General features: G+C 38.5%; 1 protein-coding gene and 1 long non-coding RNA gene across 3 annotated transcripts in view, besides 1 other annotated feature; one reads left to right on the top strand and one right to left on the bottom strand.

The window, feature by feature from the left end:
* The window catches only part of OR1B1 (olfactory receptor family 1 subfamily B member 1), a 29,503-nt gene that overhangs the window by 6,579 nt on the left and 2,450 nt on the right, over positions 1-20,474 (top strand). The gene's annotated exons all lie outside the window — the stretch shown is intronic.
* Positions 8,532-8,732: a silencer, noted in NCBI's record as "peak7331 fragment used in MPRA reporter construct". NCBI's record gives its function as "represses an SCP1 promoter by STARR-seq MPRAs in K562 erythroleukemia cells {active_cell/tissue: K562}" and the evidence as "EXISTENCE:reporter gene assay evidence [ECO:0000049][PMID:32103011]".
* The window catches only part of LOC124902265 (uncharacterized), a 29,979-nt gene continuing 20,868 nt past the window's right edge, over positions 11,364-20,474 (bottom strand). The window contains exons 2-3 of the long non-coding RNA XR_007061759.1: positions 13,813-13,946; positions 11,364-11,451 (exon numbers count right to left, since the gene is read on the bottom strand). This is a non-coding gene — a long non-coding RNA (uncharacterized LOC124902265). The remainder of the gene's footprint in view (positions 11,452-13,812; positions 13,947-20,474) is intronic.

Genomic DNA, 20,474 nt, shown 5'->3' with positions numbered 1-20,474 from the left:
TGGGACAAACCATTTTTTTTTTTTGAGACGGCGTCTCGCTCTGTCACCTGGGCTGGAGTGCAGTAGCGCGATCTTGGCTCACTGCAAGCTCCACCTCCCGGGTTCACGCCATTCTCCTGCCTCAGCCTCCCGAGTAGCTGGGGCTACAGGGGCCCGCCACCATGCCCAGCTAATTTTTTGTATTTTTTTAGTAGAGATGGGGTTTCACCGTGTTAGCCAGGATGGTCTCGATCTCCTGACCTCGTGATCCGCCCACCTCAGCTTCCCAAAGTGCTGGGATTACAGGCGTGAGCCACCGCGCCCGGCTGGGACAAACCATTTTAATGGTACCTAGAGTTCCTTAATAACCTTAAAATTAGGTGATATCATTTTTATGTTATTCTTTGTTGCAATAGCCATGGTAAGTAAATCATATAAATGCAGGCTCTGGAATTTTATCAGTTATATTTCTAAACATTGAACTCCAGAGGCCAATATAGTTCTTACTGCTGGAGATGACAGCATGAGCCTGAGTCTCTGCCTCCCCCAGATTTAATCTACTGAGCACTGTGTCTGGTCTTACTGATATTGCTAGAATTAAAATACCTTATAAGTGTGTGGGACTATATATAAATATATTATATATATATTTTTTTAATTTTCATTTTTTAATTATACTTTAAGTTCTGGGGTACATGTGCAGGCATTGCAGGTTTGTTACATAGGTATACACGTGCTGTGGTGGTTTACTGAACCCATCAACGTGTCATCTACATTAGGTATTTCTCCTAATGCGAGCCCTCCTCTAGCCCCCCACCCACCGACAGGCCCCGGTGTGTGATGTTCCCCTCCCTATGTTCATTTGTTCTCCTTGTTCAACTCCCACTTATGAGTGAGAACATGCAGTGTTTGGTTTTCTGTTTCTGTGTTAGTTTGCTGAGAATGATGGTTTCCAGCTTCATCCATGTCCCTGCAAAGGACATGAACTCATCCTTTTTTTTATGACTGCATAGGATTCCATGGTGTATATGTGCCACATTTTCTTTATCCAGTCTATTATTGATGGACATTTGGGTTGGTTCCAAGTCTTTGCTATTGTGAACAGTGCTGCAATAAACATACATGTGCATGTGTCTTTAGTAGAATGATTTACAATCCTTTGAGTATATACTCAGTAATGGGGTTGCTGGGTCAAATGGTATTTCTAGTTCTAGATCCTTGAGGAATTGCCACACTGTCTTCCACAATGGTTGAACTAATTTGCATTTCCACCAACAGTGTAAAAGAGTTCCTGTTTCTCCACATCCTCTCCAGCATCTGTTGTTTCCCGACTTTTTAATGATTGCCATTCTAACTGGTGTGAAATGGTATCTCATTGTGGTTTTGATTTGCATTTCTCTAATGACCAGTGATGATGAGCTTTTTTCCAAATGTTTGTGGGCTGCATAAATGTCTTCTTTTGAGAAGTGTCTGCTTATATCCTTTGCCCACTTTTTGATGGGGTTGTTTTTTTCTTGTAAATTTGTTTAAGTTCTTTGTAGATTCTGGATATTAGCCCTTTGTCAGATGGATAGATTGCAAAATTTTTCTCCCATTCTGTAGGTTGCCTGTTCACTCTGATGATAGTTTCTTTTGCTGTGCAGAAACTCTTTAGTTTAATTAGATCCCATTTGTCAATTTTGGCTTTTGTTGCCATTGCTTTTGGTGTTTTAGACATGAAGTCTTTGCCCATGCCTATGTCCTGAATGGTATTGCCTAGGTTTTCTTCTAGGGTTTTTATGGTTTTAGGTCTTACCTTTAAGTCTTTAATCCATCTTGAGTTAATTTTTGTATCAGGTGTAAGGAATGGGTCCAGTTGCAGTTTTCTGCATATGGCTAGCCAGTTTTCCCAACACCATTTATTAAGTAGGGAATCCTTTCCCCCATTGCTTGTTTTTGTCAGGTTTGTCAAAGATCAGATGGTTGTAGATGTGTGGCGTTATTTCTGAGTTCTCTGTTCTGTTCCATTGATTTATATGTCTGTTTTGGTACCAGTACCATGCTGTTTTGGTTACTGTAGTCTTATAATATAGTTTGAAGTCAGGTAGCATAATGCCTCCAGCTTTGTTCTTTTTGCTTAGGATTGTCTTGGCTATATGGGCTCTTTTTTGGTTCCATATGAAATTTAAAGTAGATTTTTCTAATTCTGTGAAGAAAGTCAATGGTAGGTCGATGGGGATAGCATTGAATGTATAAATTACTTTGGGCAGTATAGCCATTTTCATGATATTGATTCTTCCTATCCACGAGCATGGAATGTTTTTCCATTTGTCTGTATCCTCTCTTATTTCCTTGAGCAGTAGTTTGTAGTTCTCCTTGAAGAGGTCCTTCAAATCCCTTGTAAGTTGTATTTCTAGGTATTTTATTCTCTTTGTAGCAATTGTGAATGGGACTTCACTGATGATTTGGCTCTCTGTTTGTCTGTTATTGACGTATAGGAATGTTTGTGATTTTTGCACATTGATTTTGTATCCTGAGACTTCCTTAAAACAATTACTGAATAGGAGTGGTGAGAAAGGGCATCCTTGTCTTGTGCCGGTTTTCAAAGGGAATGTTTCCAGCTTTTGCCCATTCTGTGTGATATTGGCTGTGGGTTTGTCATAAATAGCTCTTATTATTTTGAGATACATTCCATCAATACCATGTTTATTTAGTGTTTTTAGCATGAACGGGTGTTGAATTTTATCGAAGGCTTTTTCTGCATCTTTTGAAATAATCATGTGGTTTTTGTCATTGGTTCTGTTTATGTGATGGATTACATTTATTGATTTGCGTATGTTGAACCAGCCTTGCATCCCAGGGATGAAGCCGACTTGATCATGGTGGATAACCTTTTTAATGTGCTGCTGGATTTATTTTGCCAGTATTTTATTGAGGATTTTCTCATCAATGTTCATCAGGGAAATTGGCCTGAAATTTTCTTTTTTTGTTGTATCTCTGCCAGAACACAATACATTGATCTGTATTTTTTTTAAGGAATAATAGATATTTCATTAGCCTGGTACAGAGCTGGGAGAATGCATTAGCTAACTGATTGTGAAAACAAAGCATATAAGGAGAAAAAAATGGATTGATTTCACACATATTTACTCTTGATATATAAACACTGTTGGAGAATGATAGGAAAAATCGAGCATTTCATTTTGTTAGGGAATTAGGGTTAATGAAATAAAGGTTGTCACCCACTGTCCATTTATTCAGCCATTCTTTCTTGAGTGCTTGCTTTGGGCATCATGCTAGTCAGTGGGTACAGGTGTGAATTTATCACAGCCTCTTCCCTCCTGTAGCACAGAGTCAAATATGGGGATTGAGTTACACACAGTGCATCGTAGCAACAGCTGAAAAACCTGGATTCACTTTGACTGTGTAATATCTACAATTACTGTATCAGTAACAGTGGCAGCAACAAAAACAATTATTTGTTTCATTGATCTTTTGTATTATTTTCTTTATTTCAAGTTCATTTATTTCTGCTCTTATCTTTATTATTTTTTTTCCTCTACTAATTTTGGGTTCAGTTTGCTCTTGCTTTTCTAGTTCTTTAAGATGCATCATTAGGTTATTTATTTAAAGTTTTTCCTCTTTTTTGATGTATGCACATATAGCCATAAAGTTCCCTCTTAGTAATGCTTTCACTGTATCCCATAGGTTTTGGTATGTTGTGTTTCCATTATCATCGACCCACTGGTCATTCAGGAGCATTTTGTTTAATTTCCATGTGTTTGTATAGTTTCCAAAATTCCTCCTGTTATTGATTTCTAGTTTTATTCCATTGTGGCCAGAGAAGATGCTTGATATTATTTCAATTTTTTGAGTGTTTTAAGACTTGTTTTGCAACCTAACATATGGTCTACCCTTGAGAATGATCCATGTGCTGAAGAGAAGAATGTGTCTTCTGCAGCCATTGGATGAAATGTTTTGTAAATATCTATTAGGTCAATTTGTTTTATAGTGCAGATTAAGTCCAGTGTTTCTTAGTTAATTTTCTGTCTGAGAGATCTGTCCAATAACCCATCATTTTAAACTTATGACAACCTAACACTGATTGCATAAACAAACTAACACGCAAAAAGAAAACGAATAAAAACTCTACACTTTAACTTTGTCCTCTCGCTTTTTAACTTTTTGTTGTTTCTCCTTATGTCTTATTGTGCTATGTCCTGAAAAGTTGCTGTAGTTATTATTTTTGATTGGTTCATCATTTAGTCTTTCTACTTAGGAGAAGTTTACACACCACAATTATAGCGGTGTGCTGAAAATAGGGTGTTGAATTCTCCAGCTGTTATTGCAGTGGAATCCCTCTCTTTAGCTCTAATAATATTTGCTTTATATATCTGGGTACTCCAGTTTTGGGTGCATATATATTTATAATTGTTATATCCTCTTGCTGAATTGATCCTTTTATCATTATATAATGACATTCTTTGTCTCTTCTTACAGTTTTTGTCTTGAAGGCTATTTTGTCTGATGTAAGTACAGCTACTCCTGCTCTTTTTTTTTTTGGTCTTCATTGGCATGGAATATCTTTTTCCATTCCTTTATTTTCAGCCTAGGTGTGTCTTTATAGGTGAAGTGTACTTCTTATAGGCAGAAGATTATTGGGTCTTGTGTTTTTTTCATCCATTCAGCCACTTTATGTCTTTTGATTGGAGAGTTTAATCCATTTACACTCAGTGTTATTATTGATATGTGGGGACTTATTTCATTTTAAAATTTGTTTTCTGGCTGTTCTGTGGTCTTCTCTTTCTTTTTTTCCTTCCTTCTTGTCTTCCTTTCAGTGAATGTGATTTTCAGCGGTGGTATGCTTTTATTTTTTGCTCTTCGTTTTTTGTGTATCCATTATATGTTTTTTGATTTGAGGTTACCACGAGGCTTGCAAATACTATCTTATAACCCATCATTTTAAACTGATGACAACTTAACACTGATTGCATAAACAAACACACAAAAAGCAAATGAATAAAAACTCTACACTTTAACTTTTCCCCTCGCTTTTAAACTTTTTGTTGTTTCTCTTTATGTCTTATTGTACTGCCTACTTCCTGAAAAGTTGTTGTTGTTATTATTTTTGATGGTTTCATCAGTCTTTCTCTTAAGAGAAGTTTACATACCACAATTATAGTGTTATACTAATCTGTGTTTTTTCCTAGGTGCTTACTATTACCAGTGAGTTTTGTACCTTCAGATGATTCCTTCTCACTCACTAATATTCTTTTCTTTCAGATTGAAGAACTCCCTTTAGCATTTCTTGTAGGACAGGTCTAGTGTTGATGAAATCTCTCAGCTTTTGTTTGTCTGGGAATATCTTTATTTCTCCTTCATGCTTAATGGATATTTTCACTGGGTATACTATTCTATACTATTCTAGGGTAAATTTTTTTTCCTACAGTACTTTAAAAATATCATGCCACTCTCTCCTGGCCTGTAAGGTTTCCACTGAAAAGTCTTCTGCCAGTTGCATTGGAGCTTCATTATATGTTATTTTTTTCTCTTGTTTCTTTTAGGATCCTTTTTTTATCCTTGGCCTTTGGAAGTTTGATTATTAAATGCCTTGGGGGAGTCTTCTTTGTGTTAAATCTGCTTAGTGTTCTATAACCTTCTTGTACTTGAATGTTGATATTTTTCTCTAGGTTTGTGAAGTTCTCTGTTATTTTCCTTTTGAATAAACTTTCTATCTCTTTCTCTCTTTCTACCTCCTCTTTAAGAGCAAAACTCTGTAACTGGTCCTCTTGAGGCTATTTTCTAGATCTTATAGTATGCTTTATTCTGTTTTTTTTTCTTTTGTCTCCTCTGACTGTATTTTCAAATAGCATATCTTCAAGCTCACCAGTTCTTTGTTCTGCTTGATCAGTTCTGCTATTAAGACACTTTAATACATTCTTCAGCATGTGGATTGTATTTTTCAACTCTAGAATTTCTGCTTGATTATTTTAAATTATTTCAATCTCTTTGTGAAAATTCTTATATGATTCTGAATTCCTTTTCTGTGTTTTCTTGAATTTCTTTGAGTTTCCTCAAAACAGCTATTTTGAATTCTTTGTCTGAAAGTTCATATATCTCTGTTTCTCTGGGACTGGTCCCTGGTGCCTTATTTATGTGGTGAGGTCATGTTTTCTTGGATGACGTTGATGCTTGTAGATGTTCACTGGTGTCTGGGCATTGAAGAATCAGGTAGTTATTGTAGTTTTCACAGTCTGGGCTTGCGTGTGCCTGTCCTTGGGAAAGCTCTCCAGGGAAGGGACCTGAGCCCTAAGGCCAATCATGGTATGGTTTTTACAGACTCATAAAGATATCACCTTGGTGGTCTTGGAAAATAGCTGCAAGAATTCTCTGGATTACCAGGCAGAGACTCTTATTCTTTTCTCTTACTTTTCCCCAAACATATGGACTATCTCTCTTTCTTGCTGAGCCACTTGGAACTGGGGATGTGGTGATGCCAACACCACTGTGGTCACCACCACTGGGATTGTGCCAAGGGCCTTCCCTTCAGGGTGACAAGTTTACCCAGGCCCATGCATGTCTAGATATGCTATCTGGAAGCCAGGGATTAGAGTTCAAAAGCTTAGCAATTTACCTAATGTTCTATTCTACCGTGGCTAAGCTGGCACTCAAACCACTATTCAAAGTCCTTTCTGCCCCTTCCTCCCCTTATGGCAGGCAGAGGAACTTCTTCCTGTGGCCACCACTACCACTGGTCCATGGGGCTTCTGCCAGGCCACTGCCAAGTTTTGCTTAAAGCCCAAGGGCTCTTCTTTCAGCTTGTGGTGAATGCTGCTAGGCCTGAGACTCACCATTCAAGGCTGTGAGCTCCCCACTGGCCCAGAGCAGGTCCAGAAATGTTATCCAAGAACCTAGGCCTGGACCCAGAGACCCCAATAGCCTGATTATTGCTTTACCCTACTGTGGCCGAACTGGTACCTAGAGTGCAAGACAAAGTCCCATTTACTTTTCCCCTCTGATTTTCTCAAACAGGTGGAGCCTTTTTTCACAGCCACCACAGCTGGGAATGTGCTGGGTCTCCTCTGAAGCCAGCATGTCTCAGAGCCCAAGGCCCACAGTGTCCTCCCTGGGTATTGCTGGTGCTTGTTCAGGACCCAAGGGCTCTTTAGTCAGCAGATGATGAATCCTGCCAGGACTAGGTTCTTTCCATCAAGACAGTGGGTTCCCTTTTGGCCAAGGATATGTCATCCCAGAGCTAGGGCCTGGAATGGGGGCCTTACAATTCTGCCCAATGCCCTATCCTGCTGTGGCTGAGTTGGTACCCAAGATGCAAGACAAAGTCCTCTTTACTCTTCATTCTCCTCTCCATAAGCAGAAGGAAGGAGTCACTTTCATTACTACAAACTGCACTGCCTGGGTTTGGAGGAGGTATGGCGCCAGCCTTCCCTTAGCCATGCCAGCTAATGTCTCCCTGGGTCACGTGCCACCCTAGTTCACTGGCTTTAAGCCCAGGCTAGCACTAGGAGTTGCCTAGGAATTGCAGTCCTTGTGTCCTAGACTGCCTTTAAAGTTTACCTAGGACCCGAGAACACTTCAACCCATGGTGGCGAGGCTTGCTGAGTAACTCAGGTTCTCACCACTGGGATGAGTGATTCCCCTCCAGCGAGTGCTGGTCCAAATACTCCATTCCTGTGCAGGTACTAGCTGAGTCCAGCATGGCTTTATTCTCTGCTGTGACAGGGAAGTGCTGAGTTCAGTGTAAAGTCCCTCAGTTGCTGTGCTCTCCCTCCCCACAGTGCACATATTCTCTCTCCTTGCAGCATGGCCACTGTTGGGGGGTCAGGGAGGGGTGGCATCAGAGATTCAAGACTGTCCTGCCCTTCTCAATAGCCTTCCATGATATGGAGTTAAAACCAGGTACTGTGCTTACTCACCTGATTTTTGGTTCTTGTGTCAGTGCTTTTCTCTGTGCAGATGTTAAAATTAGGTGGTCCAGTGAGAGTGGTGGGGGAGGAACAAATGGTATAGGCTTCTATTCTGCCATCTTGCCCCACACCCCCATTCTTTTATCAACAAAAACAATTATTATTTGAGCCTTTTAGTACATGCCAGGCACTATATCCGACACTTCAGGTAAAATATTCTAGTCCTTACAAAAATCTTTTATAAAACATTAGATGTTATTAGCACTTTACATGTAAGTAGACTAGAGGTCAGAGATGTTAAGTAATTGCCAGATTCACAGAATGTATAAGTGTTATAGCCTAGAATTATATTCAATTTCGTCTCCAAAGCCCTGCTTTAGGTGATTACATCATGATTTACTTATTATATCATAGGAAGAAGATAAAGTGATGACTGTGTGAGTGATTAGGGTAATGATACACAAGTGTTTGTCGTCTGGGGTACCTGGGCATTGATTGATTTGTCTTCTCTACCCCAACAGGATCAGTGGCATGGAGACATTGGCAGAGACTCGTGGTACTTAAAAGTACCTTCCCTTGAGAGTATGTCAATGCTTGCCTGATCTGTGAGGTGGCAGGCATTGTACCTGACCTCCCCCCAGGTGGCTCTAGAGGAAAGATCTCTAGGGCCCCACAACTCCTAAATCTCACCTAGCCTCACCAGCCCTGATTTCCTGCTCTGTCTGCTGAGTGTCTGTCCTTCAGCACCATGGCCAGATCTCTGAGGTTTAAGAGGAGGCTGGAGTCACACAATCCAGAGTCACAGCCGTCCTTTCTTGCCAGGTGAATGTGTGGGTGGGGAACTAGCCTTCATTCTCCATCCTGTTTTTCCCTGACAAATTATTGTCTTTCTCTATCAATAACCTGTCTCTCACTCTGGATCTATTCCTGTTGAACACCATCTTTTCTCCTTTATGCCTTCATAGCAATTCCCTTCTCGCTCCTCACTCTACCCTCCTTTTCTATCCTTTCTCCTTTCTGTTCCCATTCTTGATGTTCTATTTTTCATACCTGCCTTCATTTCTCTTTCCTTTACACCACTTCCAACCATCTCTTTTCTGCTTTCCTTCTACTCTGTCCACATTCCTACCCTTCTCTCACTCATCATCTGCACGCCCTTCTTCTTTTCCTGAAAATCTTTATTTCTGCTCATTATCTCTGCCCTAATCATTTTCTTTATTCTAATCCCCAATTATGCTCCTCTGTCTTCTCATTTCAAAGATCTTTTTTAAAAAAATTATATTTTTCATTGACAATTAAAATTTGTATAGATTTATAATATACAACATGATGTTGGAATTTGCATACCTTGTGAAATGGCTACATTGAGCTAATTAACACGTGCATTATCTCACATACTTATATTTTTGTGGTGAGACTACAAAATGTACTCTTAGTGATTTTCAAGGCTATATTGTTGATAACTATAGTCACCATGTTGTATAAAAGGTCTCTTGAACTTATTCTTCCTATTTAAGTGAAATTTTGTATGTTTTGATGACCTCTCCCCAACCCCCACTCCCTGGGAACCAGCATTCTATTCTCTGCTTCCATGGGTCCTTATGCTCTTTGAATTCTCACATTCAGTGTGCATTCTCTTTCCACCCTGCATTTCCATTCTTACTCTTTCCCCACCACTTTGACTGCTTTGTTTTCTACTGCATTTGTCCTTTCCTCCATTGTGTCTTCATTTCTATGTCTCTAACCCTTGCCGTGACTTTCAATTATCTCTTGAAGAAAGTCACAAAATTACTTTTGGAAACATGGAACTTTAGAAAGAAAGGTTTAGAAGAAACACTCAATTAACAGTAAATTCACATTTCAGTAATTATTTTTTGAAAATTTGTCACATATATAGGGCTTATACACACATATACACATACATGCACACACACATTATGTCACATTCACCACTATTGTTCAGAAAGCCAGCTGTTCTTTGAGTAATATGGAGGGAAGTTTTGATATTAGCCCAAAGTGCTTTGATGCACTATACCCTGTTATGATTTTGTTACCTACTGAGGAATATTTTCATGACCTCATTCCATCCCTGACCTCACCTAAGTCTGAAATGGGACCAACTCCAAATAAGATTCACAAGCCCGTTTGCTTATATTTATTATATCACTTATTATACTGTTTTGCATCTAATATTTATTCTTCTTTCTCTCCATGCTATGACTTCTTTATGGCAGGGTCTTTGTATGATGTGTCTTAATGTCCCATCACTGGTAAGAAATAAATATTAGTAGGACGTATGAATTAATCAATAAATGGATGGATAAATAAATGAATTATCTTCTGGATCATGTGACTACCTGATGTACTTAATCTAGCCAAAATTAGTTTCTGGGAACCATAGGCAAATTCAAGTATTCAGAACAATTCTCTCCATGCCTTCTCTTCTCTCTTCTCTTGTATATCCAGAGGCATAGATTCCAGTTGCCAAGCACTGTTTAAAATAACAGTTGTGCTTTGTGAGAAAACAGTCTTTGGCAATTGCTCTTACAAATTGTTTAAAATCTCCAATACGATTGATTCATGGTGACTAAATCTTCATTTCCCGCCCACTCCATATCCCTTCACCAAATTTCCTGCTTTTCCTCTGACTTTTCTTCTGTCTCCTTTTATTTTCCAGTCCCTGTTATTCTCTCTGGATCCTTCGACTATATTATTAGCCCTCCATTATATACTTGGCTTCATTAGGTATTGTATTTTCAACAAGAACTGTAGAATAATCAGCATTAAGTTGATCATGACCAGGATCTAGAACTGGACATGTTCTTCTGGTTTGTTCTTGGGGAGGCTTCATGGTGAGGGGAATGGGAGAGGAAGTAAGGAAAATATATAGAAAAGAGATAACCACTTGGAGGGAGGAGGATAAAATTAATAATTTTATAGTATTATAGAGATTAGACAAAAGCAAATATCTAGAAGGTGGGGGATAGTGGATAATAATAGTAAAGAAGGAAAATGAAGAAGGGTTGGGAGAAGCCATGATCAAGATTTCCAAATCTTCGTGTTAAAATTCCAGTTCTGCCACTGACTAGTTCTACAATAGTAAGCAAGTTGCTTAATTTCTGTATGCTTCAGTTTCCCCATTTGTAAAATCAGAAATGGTACCTGCCTCACAGAACCGCAGGTTTCGTGAAATCATGCATGTGGAGTGCTTCGTACAGTTTGTGGCACATTAAAAGGGCTCAAAAAATGTTAGCTTCTTGTTCTACTACTCCTGTTGTTATAGATCATTGTGTGTGGGTGAAGACTGTTCATTTATAACCTTGGAAGCAAAAATGGAGTAAATTACTTTATATTGAAATTATACTTGAATAATTTCAATATAAATAAATATATATAAATATATATTGAAATTTAATTTGATAGATTCAATATATAAATATATATTGAAATTAAATTTGATAGATTACAAAGTACAAATTATAATTTTTAAACAATAATAGGCATTTTATTTAATTCTTCCAACAACTTTGTGAAAGTAGTTCCCATGTCCACTTTATGGTTGAGGAATCTGAAATTCAAAGACAAGTCAAAAAACTTACTCACATATGAAAGTTAGTAACTTAAAGCACAGAAACATACACTTATATAAGCTTAGACCCATGCTTTGTATAACGGAAATCAGTAAACAACCCAAATATATATCACAGAGAATGTATAAATACATTGTGATATGTTCATGCAAAGGGCTATTATATAGCAGTGAAAAATAAATGAACCAAAGCTATATCCAATAATATCAGTGAAGTAATATGATGCTGAGATCTAAAGATATGTCCACCTCAAGTTACTTAAAGCTTGTTATCCTTTAATACATTTAAGATCGTCTCAAACTTGACAATATTCTTTTTGGAATATCTATAGATGTATCAAAATCATAGACGTATATAATATATAAACATGTTAAGAAGAGTAAGAAGATGATTAACTCAAGATTCTAAAGGTTGGTTACCCTAAGCAGGAGGTAACGGGGAGGTGATGAAAAACGTCTATCTAAGTAGATATGAATTATCATCAATGTTGTTGTTTCTTTGTTGGACAGTACGTTGATGTGTGTTTATAATAATATTTAAAACCAAGTGAGTAAGCAGGCAAGCAGGTTATAATCGAACCACTGTAGTGTAGCATAAACCAAAGCTTATGATTAGTTAAATTTTGGGCTTCTGAGGCTGGGGAAATATAGTCCGTTATGAGCCTTCCATCTCTCAGTCTTGCTGAAGATTTCTCCCTTCTATTCCGGAGCTCTGTGTAAACTTTTCTCCTGCTCTAGATCCCTTCAATCAGCACAAACTAAAAGCTGCTATGAGAAGCTCACTGTAGAACTTGCTATAGTGAGACAGAGAACCAGAAATGATAATTGGAAACATGGGTCCTGCCTGGGGTCAGGGAAAGACCATCTAGGGGAACTTCATGGCTCAATGCACAGGCCTGATGATTATAATTCACAAGTATTGTGACCTTTTCTTTTTCCATAAGGTCTTGGCAAATTGTTTTGGAGATAAATCTCTGATTATCTTAGTTCTCGGATAGATATTACCTAATTCTGGGTTCTCCATAATGTACTAGCTTGAGTATCCTGGTGCTGAATGTGTGATGTGGATATTATTTTGAGTTAGAAAGGTATGCTTAACCTTAGAAGGCATCAATAATAAAAACCACTAGAAAATAAAAGTCTTATATCTCCATTGCTACCCTTGGCTTTATTGTTTATATTTTAATAGGAAAAGCTTCACAGTATAGAAAAATACATAGGAACCAAAACAATGAACTACATATACTAAACACCCAACTTCAACAAAACTTAAATTTGCCCTTTTTTGTTTCAGTTCTTACCTTGAAAAAATTGACTGCTATAGATACAATTAAAGCCCAAACTGCTTCTCTTTCCTCTTTTCCTAAAGAAAACTACTATCCCAAATAAGCTATTCATTATTTTCCTGCATATTTCTAGAATTTCACTATGTATGTTTTATAAAAATGACAGAATTCTCTTGCATGTTTTACAACTTTATATCTGTTGTTATACTTTTCTATCATTTTGCAACGGGCCTTTCCCAGTTAACATTATGTCTTGGAGTTTTACACTCCATGCATGTTGTTTTGATTTCAAATGCTGTATAGTGTGAATGAAACACAAGTTAAAATATTTATGTAGAGTTATAGCACTATATTTAACTGAATTACCTATTCTTCATCACTGAAGAATGCCATCACTGTTATATACCACAATTTCTACAAATCGTGATTTTGTTTTTGGGACTGTCCATTTCTGTATCTGTATATCCATTTTTTAGCCACATATTGGGCTACAAAATGAATCTTAAAAAACTTCAAAGAAGTAACCTCACAGAGATTAAATTCTCTGGCCAGAATGCTATTAAATTAGAAACTGGTAACAAAAAGATAGTTTAAGAAAATGTTTGCAAACTAAGAATGCAGTGTAAAATATTACTTAAGGCCTTAAAGAAAGCTTGAGGGAAGGGCCAAGTGCAACTTCTGCCAGTGCATTGAGAAAGAGAAGACTGCATTTACCAAATTTGTTGGGATAAAAATGTATGAGTTTTCCTTAGACTAACTTTCCTTGGACCCAAGGATGGTACATGAGCTGTGTCATCTTGAAAATCATTCCACCTAAGAGAATTTCTTGCTAGAGTAAGGCAATCCTAGAAGAAGCTTAGAAGGGTGCAGTCAGATGTCCAATGTAAGGGAGGGGGCTCTAAGGGATCAGACAGGGTTTGAATTAGTCTCATCTGGGAAGAATGCAGTAATAGTTACCTATAGGTGGTCTCAAATGGGCCAATATGATGTTCCGCAAGAGAAGAGAGTCAGTATTTGTAACTTCTACCAGCTCTATCTTTCAAAGAGACCTTACCTTTCCGTTTCCCTTCTTCAAATCAACACTGCAATAGCCAGAGACAGAAAAGGATGGATAAGATGGTGCAAAGATGAAGACAGTCGCATCCCTCTTTCCCTAATGCAGGTTTCTGGATGAAAATATAAACCCTGCTGGGGAAGAAAGCACAGTTTAAATTGCTTGAGAATTAAAATTTTTATATTCTAATGTGTTGGAATTTTAGTACCTAAAAATGAGACTTTTCAAAAAGCAGTCGTGTGAAAAAAGTTACTTCCTACTTTACCTCTGCAAAGTTCATTTTCTTCCAAAAATACTCTCTTAACGGAATATGTTCTCCTTTAATCTTCTCTACCTTATGAGAAATTTTGTCACTATTTGACAGATGAGAAAGCATAACTTGCTTAAGATCACATAGTTAATAAATGGCAGATATGGAGTGAAACTCCAGGTAAGTCTGACTCCGAAACCTTTGTATTAACTTCTAGACCACTGCCCTTTAGTAGAAAATCTTTTTTGTTTGGTTAACAAATGTTTAACGAGCACCCACTCATTCCCCAGCTCTGTGTTAGGTATTAGGAAGTCAGTGATGAATGTACATGTGTGTGTTTGTTTGTTTATTTATTTATTTATTTATTTTTGAGACAGAGTTTCATTCTTGTTGCCCAGGCTGGAGTGCAATGGCATGATCTTGGATCACTGCAACCTCTGCCTTCTGGGTTCAAGCATTTCTCCTGCCTCAGCCTCCCAAGTAGCTGGGATTACAGGCACCTGCCACCAGGCTCGGCTAATTTTTTGTATTTTTGGTAGAGACTGGGTTTCACCGTGTTGCCCAGGTGGGTCTTGAACTCCTGACCTCAGGTGATCCACCCGCCTTGGCCTCCCAAATTGTTGGGATTACAGGCGTGAGCCACTGCTCCTGGCCAGTATATATGTGTATGTATGCGTGCATGCATGTGTGTATCTACATGGGTTCATATGTGTATATGTGTGTGTATACACACATGGTAACAGTGTACATTGGGAGATAGGCAAGTCAGTATTTACGAAGTTACTTGAAAAGCAAAAAATGCTCCACTAAAATGACCGTGCAGGGACTTGGTGAAGTCTCCAAGTAGAAACGAAGCCTGACTGAGACCTTCAACATGAGCAGCTTTTTACTTGTTAGCATGTGGTCCTAAGTTTGGGCCCTAACAGGATGGGAGGACATTCCATGAAAGAGAAAACAGTATCCGTAAAAATGCTTTTTTATTTTTTCAATAGTTTAAAGGGATATAGAATTTGAGTTTGGTCATTATTTTCTCTCAGCACTTTGGAAATATTATTTCCTGATTTTCTAGAATCTCTTGTTGCTGATAAATCTTTTGTCAGTCTATTTGTCTTTCTTGTTGCTTTTAATATAACCTCTTCGAATTTCTATTCAGTGGTTTCCCTAACATAGTGTCTATGTATGGAATTTAAAAAATTTATCTTGTTTGGGAGTTACTGTGATTCTTCAATCTGAGGATTCATTTCCTTCATTAAGTCTGGCAAATTCTTAGTTTGTGTCTCTTCAATATTGCCTCTCCTCTATTTTCTCATATACTTAATCTTGGACTTATTTTTTATTGTGTATATTTAATGTGTACAACATAAGGTTTTAATGTACACATACATAGTGAAATGGTTACAACAGTCAAGCAAATTAACATATCCATTATCTCACATAGTTACCTATTTTTTTGTGGTAAGAACACCTTAAATCTACTCTCTTGGCAAATTTCCATGATAGAAGTATACAATGCAATATTATTAATATGTCTTCTTGCTGTACAGTATACCTCTAGACATCCATCCTACAAAACTGTAACTTTGTATCTTTTGAGCTCTAACTACTCATTTTTTCCCTTCCCCGACTCCTGCTAATCACCCTTCTAGTCACTGTTTCTATGTATTTAGTTTTTAAAACGTAAGGTTCTACATAAAAGTAAAATTATGCAGTATTTTTTTCTGTGCCTGGCTTATCTCACTTAACATAATATCCTCCAGGTTCATTTATGTTATCACAAAAAAGAGCAGAACCTCTTCCTTTTTAAAGGCTAAATAATATTCCACAATTTCTTTAGCCATTCATTCATTAAAAGACACTTAGGTTGTTTCCATATTTTAGCTATTGTGAATAATGCTGCAGTGAACATGGGAGTGCAGATATCTCTATGAGGTGCTGATTTATTTTCCTTCGGGTGTATACCCAGGAGAGGGATTGCTGGGTCACCTGGTTGTTCTATTTTTAAGTTTTTAAAGACCCTCTGTACTGTTTTCCATAATGGATGCACCAATTTACATTCCTTCCAACAATGTGCAAGTGTTCCCTTTCCTTCATATCCTTGCCAACACTTGTTATTTCTTCTTGTTATTCCGCATAATAACCATCCTAGCAGGTGTGAGGTGCTATCTCATTGTGATTTTGATTTTCATTTCCCTGACGATTAGTGATGTTAAGCACACTTTCATATACCTATGGCCATTTGTATATCTTTGGATGCATATTTATTCAGGTTCTGGTATGGTTTGGCCCTGTGTCCCCACCCAAATCTCATCTCCAATTGTAATCACCACATGTCAAGGGAGGGACCTGGTGGGAGGTGATTGGATCATGGGGGTGGTTTCCCCCATGCTGTTCTCGTGATAGTGCATTCTCACGAGATCTTATGGTTTTATAAGGGGCAGTTCCCCCTGCATTTTCTCTCTCCTGTTGCCTTGTGAAGAAGGTACTTGCTTCTCCTTTGCCCTCCACCATGATTGCAAGCTTCCTGAGGGCTCCCCAGCTGTGTGTGGAACTGTGAGTCAATTACACCTCTTTCCTTTATAAATCACCCAGTCTCGGGTATTTCTTTTTTGTTTCTTTTTTCTTCTGTTTTTTCTTTTCTTTTTTTTTTTTTTGAGATGGAGTTCGCTCTTGTTGCCTAGGCTGGAGTGCAATGGCATGATCTCTGCTCACCACAACCTCCACATCCCGGGTTCAAGCGATTCTCCTGCCTCAGCCTCCTGAGTAGCTGGTATTACAGGTATGTGCCACCACGCCTGGCTAATTTTGTACTTTCAGTAAGGACGGGGTTTCTCCACGTTGGTCAGGTTGGTCTCAAACTCCCGACTTCAGGTGATTCACCTGCCTCAGCCTCCCAATGTGCTGGGATTACAGGCATGTGCCACCATGCCTGGCTAATTTTGTATTTTTAGTAGGGACGAGGTTTCTCCATGTTGGTCAGGCTATAGTGTATTTCTTTATAGCAGTGTGAAAATAGACTAATACACGTTCTTTTTGCACCCCCCCACCCCACCCTTTTTTTGAGACATAGTCTCACCCTGTCACCCAAGCTGGAGTGCAGTGGTGTGATCTCAGCTCACAGCAACTTCTGCGTCTGGGTTCAAGAAATTCTCCTGCTTCAGCCTCCCAAGTAGCTGGGACCACAGGCATGTCCCACCATGCCGGGCTAATTTTTGTATTTTTAGTAGAGACGAGGTTTTTCCATGTTGGCCAGGCTGGTCTCAAACTCCTGACCTCAAGTGATCTGCCTGCCTTGGCTTCCCAAAATTCTGGGATTACAGGCATGAGCCACCATGCCTGGCCTCTTTGCCCATTTTGAAACTTGGTTATTATTATTATTATTATTTTGCTATTGAGTATAAGTTTTTAAGCATATTTTGAATATTAACCCCTTATCAGATATATTGTTTGCAAATATTTTCTCCCAGTCTGTTGGCTGCCTTTTCATTCTGTTGATTATTTCCTTTGCTGTGCAAAAGCTTTTTAGTTTGATGTAGTCTCACTTGTTTATGTTTGCTTTTGTTGCCTGAGCATTTGGTGTAATATCCAGAAAATGATTGCCAAAACTAATGTCAAGGAGTCTCCCCCTTGTATTTTCTTCTTGGAATTTTGTGGTTTCAGGTCTTGTGTTTAGGTCTTCAGTCCATTTTGAGTTGATTTAGTGAATGGTGTGAGATAAGGGTCCAATTCCATTCTTTTGTATGTAGTATCCAGTTTTTTTCTTGGACTTATTTGATATATAATGGGTCTTCTTATTTTGTTTCCTGAAATTCTTAACTCTTGATATGGTTTGGCTGTGTCCCCACCCAAATCTCATCTTGAATTCCTATGTGTTCAGGGAGGGACTTGGTGGGAGGTAATTGAATCATGGGTGCAGGTCTGTCCTGTGCTGTTCTCATGATTGTAAATAAGTCTCATGAGATCTGATGGTTTTATAAAGGGGAGTTTCCCTGCAGAAGCTCTCTTGTCTGCCGCCATGTGAGATGTGCCTTTCAACTTCTGCCATGATTGTGAGGTCTCCCCAGCCATGTGGAACTGTAAGTCCTTTTAACCTCTTTATTTTCTAAATTGCCCAGTCTTGGGTATGCCTTTATCAGCAGGGTGAAAACAAACTAATACAACCCCCCTTCATATTATCTTTATCAGCAGGGTGAAAACAAACTAATACAAACCCCCTTCATATTATCTGGGTCACTTTGTACTGTCTCCTGGGTATTTTTCTTAGAATTAGCTGCTTTCCATTATTCTAGGTGAAGTAACTGAGGAATGGAAAACCAAACATTGAATGTTCTCACTCATAAGTAGGAGCTAAGCTATGAGGATGCAAAGGGAAAAGAATGATACAATGGACTTTGGGGACTTGGGGGAAGCGGTGGAAGGGGGGTGAGGGATAAAAGACTACAAATTGGGTGCTGTGTATACTGCTTGGGTGATGGGTGCACCAAAATCTCAGAAATCACCACTAAAGAACTTACTCTTGTAACCAAATACCACCTGTTCTTCCAAAACCTATGGAAATAGAGAAAAATTTTTAAAAGAACTAACTTCTCTCTTCAGCCACTGTCTAACCCATCCATTGAGTTTTTCATTTCAATGTGAATGTTTTTGTTTTCTAGTAATTCTTTTTGGGCCTTTAAAAATATGTTTTTTTTTTGATAACTTCTTTCTTATAATCTTTATTTTCTCTCTTAGACACTAAGTACTTTAAATATAATGTATATTCCTTAACAGATTGGTTAATTTTATGACATTTGGAGGAGGTTATCACATTATTTGTTGATTGATGAGTATCTTCATAATGAATAGACTTTATGTGTGTTTTGTAATTTTGAATTGTGAGCTCATCTTTGGTGGATTTCTGTTTGTGGGATTCCTGTCTAGAGTCTATAAGTCACTGAGAAGTTTTATGTTCACTTCTAAAAGGTACTCCAATGCTTTTACCTGTATGAAGATAATTTTTATGTTGATTTTTTATTTTGAGAGTTCTAGAATTGTATGTATTTTGTAAATTAGCATTATGCACTTCTTATGTGGTACAGATCCATAACTGCATTCCCATGGAAAGCACTTTTCCTTCCATGTAGTCCAGACTGAGCGATCTGAATTTTCATTTGTTCTCACATACCCTGTGTGGGTGTAGGTGTGTGTGTGTGTTTTCCTGTTCGTGTATACCCTTTTGCTGAAAGTTTAGCCTTTTGAGTGTCCTCAATTTATGTGGTGGTCTCTACCTCCTGCCTCATACAGGTTTAAGCTCTTATCTCCTGTTCCACACGGATGTTAATAATCAAACCTGTGGACTATGAAGACTGATGTGATGCCCTTGAACCTACCTGCCACCTGTCACCTGCCATCACTACCTCCATAATCACAGATAGTTTTTAGATATTAATTTTTCATATTCCTCTTTGATTACAGACTCTTGTATTTCCCTTATGTTCTTGAAAGCTTAGTTATGATTTTAAAAGTATGTTATTGGCTGGGCATGGTGGCTCACACCTGTAATCCCAGCACTTTGGGAGGCCGAGGTGGGCGGATCACGAGGTCAGGAGATCGAGACCATCCTGGCTAACACGGTGAAACCCCGTCTCTACTAAAAATACAAAAAAATTAGCCTGGCATGGTGGCGGGCGCCTGTGGTCCCAGCTACTCTGGAGGCTGAGGCAGGAGAATGGCATGAACTTGGAAGGCAGAGCTTGCAGTGAGCCGAGATCGTGCCACTGCACTCCAGCCTGGGCGACAGAACGAGATTCCGTCTCAAAAAAAAAAAAAGTATGATTATTATATTTTCTCTAAGTTTCTGTGTTGAGTGGGCATGTGTGGATGATTGTATTACATACCTCATATTTCAGAAAGCCCAAATTCTCAAAATAATGGGAAGATGTGCAGGGGTGTGAGAGCTTACCATGTTTGAGAATTAAGAAAAAATGTCTAGTTTAAAACACTGGGACCAGGCACGGTGGCTCATGCCTGTAATCCCAGCACTTTGGGAGGCCGAGATGGTTGGATCACGAGATCAGGAGTTCGAGACTAGCCTGGCCAACATGGTGAAACCCTGTCTCTGCTAAAAATACAAAAATGAACTGGGTGTGGTGATGTGTGCCTGCAGTCCCAGCTACTTGGGAGGCTGAAGCAGGAGAATCACTTGACCCTGGGAGGCAGAGGTTGCAGTGAGCCAAGATCAAGCCACTGCACTTCAGCCTGGGTGATAGAGTGAGACTGTCTTAAAAAAACAAAAACAAAAACAAAAACAAAAAAACCCTGGATAGGTGACTCAGTATAATTCTAAGAGAAGTTAGGTACTAATAATGAAAGTTCCATACAAGACAGATTAAGCATTTGGATTTTATTCTGAAGTCCCTGACTATTTAAACAAGGA

The sequence above is a fragment of the Homo sapiens genome, chromosome 9 (genome assembly GCF_000001405.40).
Source record: "Homo sapiens chromosome 9, GRCh38.p14 Primary Assembly".
Classification (NCBI taxonomy): Eukaryota; Metazoa; Chordata; class Mammalia; order Primates; family Hominidae; genus Homo; species Homo sapiens.
This window is presented reverse-complemented; position numbering and strand designations above follow the sequence as displayed.